Here is a 7,706-nt window from a genome sequence, read left to right on the forward strand (position 1 = left end):
CATAAGCACAAGATTTTTTAATTGTGCAATTTGAAATTGGCCATGCACTGCCACTCCCCCAAACCCACTAACCACATTAACAAAATTAATTGATAATCTCAGTATTAAAAAATAAAGGTTGAAACAGATGTTATCCACTAGTATTAGAAGGTAGTTGCTCCAGAAAAGAACAAAACAAAAGATGTTGCTAACAATAGAGAAGACAAATAGCAGTAACTATACATACTAACTAGAAATCCATGTAGTCATGGGAAATATGTTTTCACTTTCAAGAAAACCTGTGTCTAGATTCTAGTCTTACTGCTATTCAAGAAACAATTATTTAGGAAACTCATTTGGACATGGTCTCAAAAGACTTCTTCATTAACAGAGATAAATAATCTTTATTCCAGGGTTCTTGCCATAAACATGACAAGACAAATGTCAAATGGTTTGGTTATTTAAAATTACACTGAATCAACAAACACAATCACCTGAACAATGAACTGCAAAATGATTCAACACACACATTTTTCGCATTTGAATATCTAGAGCGGCGAAAATATTTCTGTACTTTTCCTAACATTTTATGCAAAAGTTACAAAGCCTCTCTCAAATAATATTTGGTAGCTAGCTTCATAATACCACTTCTCAATACTTCCCAGGATGGTTTCGTGCAGAAGCTAGCATAACTTTTCTTTCTGTTAGTCACTTTCCAAGAAAGAGGTAGGGCACTCCCTTCAAGATGCAGGACAAACTTCAAGATTCTTAAAAATCCTTTCTCATTGATTTCTCGATGTACAATGTAAAACTGACTTACGCAAAAGTCTTTTTCAGTCCCTCTTCATTTCTTAGGTAGGGTATTGTTTTCTAAAATTATGTAATTCTTGCCTCGTAAGAGGTCTTCCATTTCCTAAGACAACCAGTCATTAAGCAATATGTTAAAAGGTTTTTCACCTGTATTGCAGCAACTATGCTCTCATTTCTAACTGGTTGTCTAAGTGGTCAGTGACTTCAATCTACTTAGGAATTTTTCAGTGTTCCCATAGAGTACCTAAAAGTGGTAGTAATGGACACCTCATATCAAAGTTCAAAAGCACTAAGTACAAAATATATTAGTCACCCATATGGATGATTCAGCTAAATGACTGTACTGATTAGCCCAGAAGAAGCAGATCTGTTGCCTGTGCAACAGGTAAGCCTCGCGTACAAACCACAATATAATATTTATTTAGAAATGTTCACTTCCTTAAAAATAACCACATATAATGAAAGGAAAATAAACACACGATGGTAAATGGCCTACAATCGCTACACCATACAGCAGTGCAACACCTCAAATAATTTTATAACCTGATGAAAGTCACTGACTCTAAACTTCCTTACTTTTAATTTGTTTGTATTGCCTGCCTTACCAACCTGGGCAGGGGTTGGGGGTTGGGGGAGGGACTCTTAGTGTTTTTTGGCTCTATCAGAAAATCTAAGGACATCTGACCTTTGTATTTCAGTTATATGTTACATGGTCTAAACAATGGAGCAATTTATCATTAGCTAATATTTGATCATGCTTGTCACCAATTGGTTTGTTTCAGTTATTCGCATGTAATAAATCAGATGTACACACAATGCTGGGCTTGAGTGACTTTCTCTAGCTGAGTGGTCTACCGGGAGTAGTACACAGGAACCATGCTCCCTGAGTTCACCAGGACACTCCCTGGGAGCAGTTGAATTGATCATACTGTTGCAATACTGATCACAGTAAATGAGCTTTTTGAGGAGCCCTCTAGAGTAGCAACCACACTCTCGAGTAAGCCTGTGTATCATAATGTCTCTATAGACCTAAATAACTCTTTTAATAGTCATCAAACACTCTCCTTTCATTGACAATGAAACTGAAGCCCAGAAGGTCACTTGCAAAAGGTCATGCAACTAGAAGCAGTTTTCCTGAATACTATTCTACTGTTTTCCCCTTTGCATCGTAGAGCCACTGTGCCTCTCATAGGCAAAAATTCAATCATGGCTAGCAAGAGTTTACTGAACAGCAACTATGTTAAACTTGCTTATCAGCTTAGGATGGGAAGGAAAAGGGGAGAGTAATGAGTTCAGAGTGAGAGAGAACAGACCTCAAATACCACGGTCTCCAGAGTACCCCCTTCATCATGGTTACAATCAACTCGTCTCTTCACAAACCCAGTGGAGAAGTGGCCAATTAAAATAGGGAAATCAAGAATACCTTGACAAGTTATACGCCCAAGACATCTTAACTATTTTGTAGGGTTTCAAAGTGACTCTTGAAAAGCCCTCCCCTTGTGGCTAATTAGTACAGCTATCCTTATTTATTTTTTTTTTTTTAATATTTTTTTATTTATTTTAATATTAAATATTTTAATATTTAATATTTTATTAAAATATTATTATTTTAATATTTTTAATATTATTTTTCCTTATAAACACTTAAAACATTGATGACATTTTTAACCAGAAAAACACCATTTATCCCATTACCCAAACACAATCTTTTCATTTTTAAAAATTTTAATCTATTATTTGTCCCCATGTAAGCATATTTTCACTGAGATGTCCTCATAATGCACATATAATTGTGTATTCTGATTTTTTAATTTAACATTTCGTAAGTATGTTATTTCCATGAAATTCAGTTTTCATTTTTACTAGCCATATGATATTCCATAAAGCTAACATAAAGTCATTTCCTTCATCATTCCTATATGTGGCAACATTTCAAATGTTCTCACTAATTTTCAGTACCACCAATACTGTTTTTTCTTAGAATATTCTCAAAAATAGGATTATCAAATTGAAAGGCAAAAATATGTTTATAATGGACTTCATATTTATGGCCATATTGATTTCAAGAGATTGAAATTATCTACAAAGCCACCAGCAGTAGATGTGCATTCTACTTTCACCAAACTTCCTCACCATTGCATGTAATTAAAATTTCTTTTCAGAGGCTTATTTAATGTAATATGATATTTAAGGGTGTCATTTTTATTTTAATGGTGACCATAATTATTCTCTTATTTAAAAATTATTTTATTGTCTTTCACCTCTAATATAAAATGTATCTACTCACATAATTTGACTACCTTTAGGTCATAGTTCTTCTTATGAACTTAAATGACCCTTTATGTAATATATATTAATTTTTTATACATTTTTTCCTGTAAATTTGTTTTAACCATTTAATATATCAGGCATATATTTAGATCCATAGCATAAGGTATGTATTCAGATAGTTCTGACCAATTCCAAATTATCCATAATACTATTTACTAAGTTTTCCTTCCTCACACATCTTTCTATAAGCTTGCTTTATTATGTTGTATTATAATTTGTCTATTTCTGGGCTCACCCTTTAGTTACATCAATCCACATATTTAAAATGGAACTTTTGTTCAGACTGCCAGTATGATGTGACTGGCATTGTGTTAGGTCGTTTTCATGTGCATAATCACATGAACTTTGTGTGTGTGTGTGTTAGTTTTAATTACTGTTGTTTCGTAGTATGTTCAAATCCATGGTAGAGCTAGAAACTACTCTTCATTTTCTTTTTTCAAATGTTCATCGATATTTTCTTTTCTGCATGAGTATATGTGGGAAATTTTCACCCATTTTTTCAGATTATATTATTTAATTAAGTGTACTGTTTGCCCTCCATATTCAGTCATACTCAGAATATTCCCATTAGCAGTCTGATTAAAATTGAGTTGAATTATATACATATGCATCTTTTCAACATTTTGTTGTCCCATGTTTAAAAAAATTGCATATTATTATGAATCTCTACATATACGACATTTTAACATTTATATTCAATAGACATTTATATTCTGCAAGTCTCCTGATTCTCTGTCTTTCCTCATTTCCATTTCACTTGCTTGGAAATACTTCATTCTTCATGTCCAGCAATTAAATTGTGTGAATTCCTCACAAGGTTCCCTAAATCACTTCCTTTACATGCCGGAAAATGCTGATTAAATAGAAGACAAGTACTTAAAATCCTATCTTAAATAAAATATCTTCATTTCCTTGACCAAAATGAAATTAAAACTGCATGTAAACAATATCACCACCACAAAATAATATCTCATGTAACCATTCTATTCCTTAGAATATTTACATGACAAAGCCCTGAGTTCCTTTAAAACACAGCTGAATGGCTTCAGCTAGCTAGAGCCCTCCTCCTTCCCTTCCACCCACCATTGTCTCTTATTTCTGCTATCTGTGAAACAGTTCTGAGTTCAAAGATAGAGAAAAAGTGCAGAAATACAAATCACTTAAAATTATAAATAAAATATGTTAAACCTAAGTTTGACTGAAAATAGTCTAAATTTTGTTGTGCATGTTAACTAAATCCACGTGTTATCTTCCTTGATTTCACAAAGCTAGGTACTCTCAAGGAATCTTATGGTTTACATAACCGATATGGTACATGAAGAATTCTAGACTCTGTACTGAAAGGGAAGAGAAGGACAAAAAGAAAAAATGGGAAGAAAAAAAAGACCTGAACGTCTGTGTGTAGATAGGCAAATAAGAACTGAAACTGTTTGCCATCCGCACTTTGAAAGTCACACTATGTGTCAAGTTTGTCAAGTCGAGTGAAAGAAGGAGTGATGTGCTTCTCCACTTTCCTGAAGAACCACGTAGAAAATGTGGCAAATATTTAATTTAAGCCTTGTTTCCTGAAAGACTGCAAGATGCCCACAAATTTTCTTTCCCAGAGTTCAAAATAGCAAGCTGAGTGGGTGTAAGCACTTTAAGTGAAAAAAAAAAAGTAACTAAGGAAAAGGAAATCGTACTTTCTGCTTCTTAGTATAAGATTTTTTTTTAAAGGCCATTTAAAGAGATATTAGTGATTAGGATCTGGTGGTTGTCTTGAATCAGAATACAAATACAGTCCTGGTGACCTCAGACAGAGCCCCCTGGCCACATTTAAACATGATTCATTCTGTGTAAAGATGAAACTGACAACATCGTAGTTACAGTAAGAGCAAGCTGTTGTCTGCTACGATCAGATACCTAAATCACAACAGGAAAACACTTGCACGAAGGGAAAGCTGAATGTCTATAGGGCCTCTACCCTTTCCCAAGAGAGGGACCTTCCTCAGCAGTGCTTTATAATATTTTCACATGTAGATGAGTCACCAGGGGAGCTTGTTAAAAATATGGGTTCTGATTCCGAAAGTCTACGTGGAACCCCAAAGTTCCCAGGTGATAAGTTCGCTGGTCTACACTTTGAGAAGCAAGACTGTAGTCTGTAACAATAGTTTCCTAATAGCCAGACACCAGAAATCACAATCAACCAATTAAGAACACTTACTAGTTACCTGTGCCAGTTGTTATAATAAAGTACATAACAGGTGACTGAGCTAATACAGAAAAAAAGTATGTTTTAAAAAAATAAAAGCTAAATGTGTGAAAAAGACTCTAAGGATAATAGGAGTTGAGAACAGGAAGAGTTCTGTGGGGACTAGAGTGGTCGCAAATGGCTTCATAGAGCAAGCTGGACGTGTGCAGCCCCAAGTTAAGGGAAGGGGTGGATGTAGAGAAAGAAAGAGCAGGCCACCACTAAGGGCAATTCTAGAAGGGAGAGCCTAGAGTTCCCACAAGAGAAAGCTACGGTGAGCCTGCTTTGTGGTTATAGATATTATCATTGGAAGCTTTTAATCAGAATTCACTTTGAACCAGGTGAAAGGAAACTCTGGCCTTGTTTAAAATTTGTCGGTTTGGAAATTATAATTCTATTCCAGGACAGGAAAGAATGGGTAGTTTTGCCTTAGTCTTATGCAAATTTTCTCCATTGGCAGCAGCAATAGTGTTATGAATGACATTTTAGGTTTGAGCCTGGGAGCACAAAATTACCATTTTTGTACATATATTTATGCATATGTATGCCTTTGGTTAACATATGTCTTTAATGATTAAGACTTTCAGAGCATTAGAATCATAACTTTTCACTACAATAGATTTAATAATCTTCTGTTACTTCGAGTACTTGAATTTTACTTTTATTATAAAAAGAATTTTTTTCTCCTGTAACATACTTTCGGATGGCACATACCCACACAACACCCTCAACTCCAGCAATATTCTTCCATTCTTCTCTTTCCTCCCACACTGGCTGACAATGGGAAGAAAACATATCCAGAAACAGAATGAAATTATTAATGAATTATACCTTATGTGTTTTTTTTAATCTTAAAAGAGTTTTTCCTACCAACCCACAATACGTTGGGTATTGCACAATGGATTCAACAGAAAAGCAACTGAGGATTCCACAGGTCAATACAAACATAAACATTCAATCTCTAAACTTTTTTTTTTTAATGAAGAGAATTGCAGAGGGATGAGCATACTTGCAAGCTGCAAGAAGGAAGTATTTGAAAGAGAAACCTAATATTTTAGCTCTCCTAAGTCAGGTCAGTAATCTCACTGAGTTCTATTTCCATCTTTTCATCTTGGGAACTATGAAATTCGTCATCTTATTGTAAGCATTAAGAAATGGTACTTGGAAGACTTACAAATCTTATGTTTCACATTAATGTTAAATGCCATGACTATGGTTTAGCCACAGTTACTGTCCGAGGTATGTTTCTCTCCTACCAAACTTCACTATGCTTCCTGTTCTTAGTAAGGAAGTCAGAATTTAGGCAATGAATTACGGCAAAACTGCTATTTCAAAGCATCAAGGCTTGAATGTTAACAAGATACCTGTAACACTGCGATTGGGCCGAACAAGATCCTAGTATTCAGGATGTACCAACAGAGTCACCTTCCCTCCCGTCAATCCAATGCACACACACATGCAAACACTCACTAGTGACAAGAAAAAAAATATTAATATGAGAATGCTAAATTACTGCTACTTATGAATGGTTACAAAAACAATAAACACATATGAATGGTTGCAAAAACAATAAACAAAATGCAAACAGGCACACCCTAGTGAGACCACGAAGTGTGTCTTCTACAAATCTCTTCCCCTTTCTATCCTGGTCCTGTTCAGGTGACCTGGCCTAACCTGGACATGGGGTCTTTGCAGGCTGCACGCTGCATCTACTGCAGAAAAGAGCTGGTAAGATTTTTCATGCTAGGTTGTCAAAAATGTAACGTGTTCTCATTATGAAAACATTTACATTAAGAAAACAGCAAAAACAAACAAAAATCTTGGGACATCATGAAACTTAATACAAACAAATAACTGTTGGTGAAGAGACAGATTTGGGGGAGGGGTTTTGCAAGAATAGAAGCAAGACTTCCTCCTCTGTGGGAAATATTAGTAATCCTATTAAGGCACAGTGCAAGGTGTGTCATAGACACTAGAAGCAGATATGGTTTACTTTCAGTTCTCTGAGGTGATTCTTATTGGAATTGAAGTGGCTCTTCTGAAAACAATTAATCAACAATAAGTTCTCTCTCCCTCCCTCTCTCTCTTTCTCTCTTCAAAGTGTGTGTGTGTATATATACGTATGTCTTTTGACTAATTATTAGGCGTAGTCCCATTTTTTTCTCCTTGGTACCTATCACTATAATCATCTGTGTTTCTGTGTCACCTGCTTTTAGAATTACACATGGATATTACCAGAAGTTACAGAGTTAAATTTGCAACAGCACAGACTTCTAACTACAAGCCTGGGACCATGGTGGAAACAAAGGTTCAGTTAAGGAAGATTTCCCGAGCCAGAATTGATGTCCTCACTAAC

The 7,706-nt window shown here is 35.1% G+C and overlaps 1 protein-coding gene across 14 annotated transcripts in view, besides 1 other annotated feature; it reads right to left on the reverse strand.

Annotated features, from left to right (window-relative positions):
* HIVEP2 (HIVEP zinc finger 2) overlaps positions 1-7,706 on the reverse strand; it is a 194,265-nt gene that overhangs the window by 86,508 nt on the left and 100,051 nt on the right. The gene's annotated exons all lie outside the window — the stretch shown is intronic.
* Positions 5,230-5,519: an enhancer, noted in NCBI's record as "active region_25181". NCBI's record gives its function as "activates an Ori minimal core promoter by ATAC-STARR-seq in GM12878 lymphoblastoid cells {active_cell/tissue: GM12878}" and the evidence as "EXISTENCE:reporter gene assay evidence [ECO:0000049][PMID:35858748]".

This window comes from Homo sapiens, chromosome 6 (genome assembly GCF_000001405.40).
Source record: "Homo sapiens chromosome 6, GRCh38.p14 Primary Assembly".
Lineage (NCBI taxonomy): Eukaryota > Metazoa > Chordata > Mammalia > Primates > Hominidae > Homo > Homo sapiens.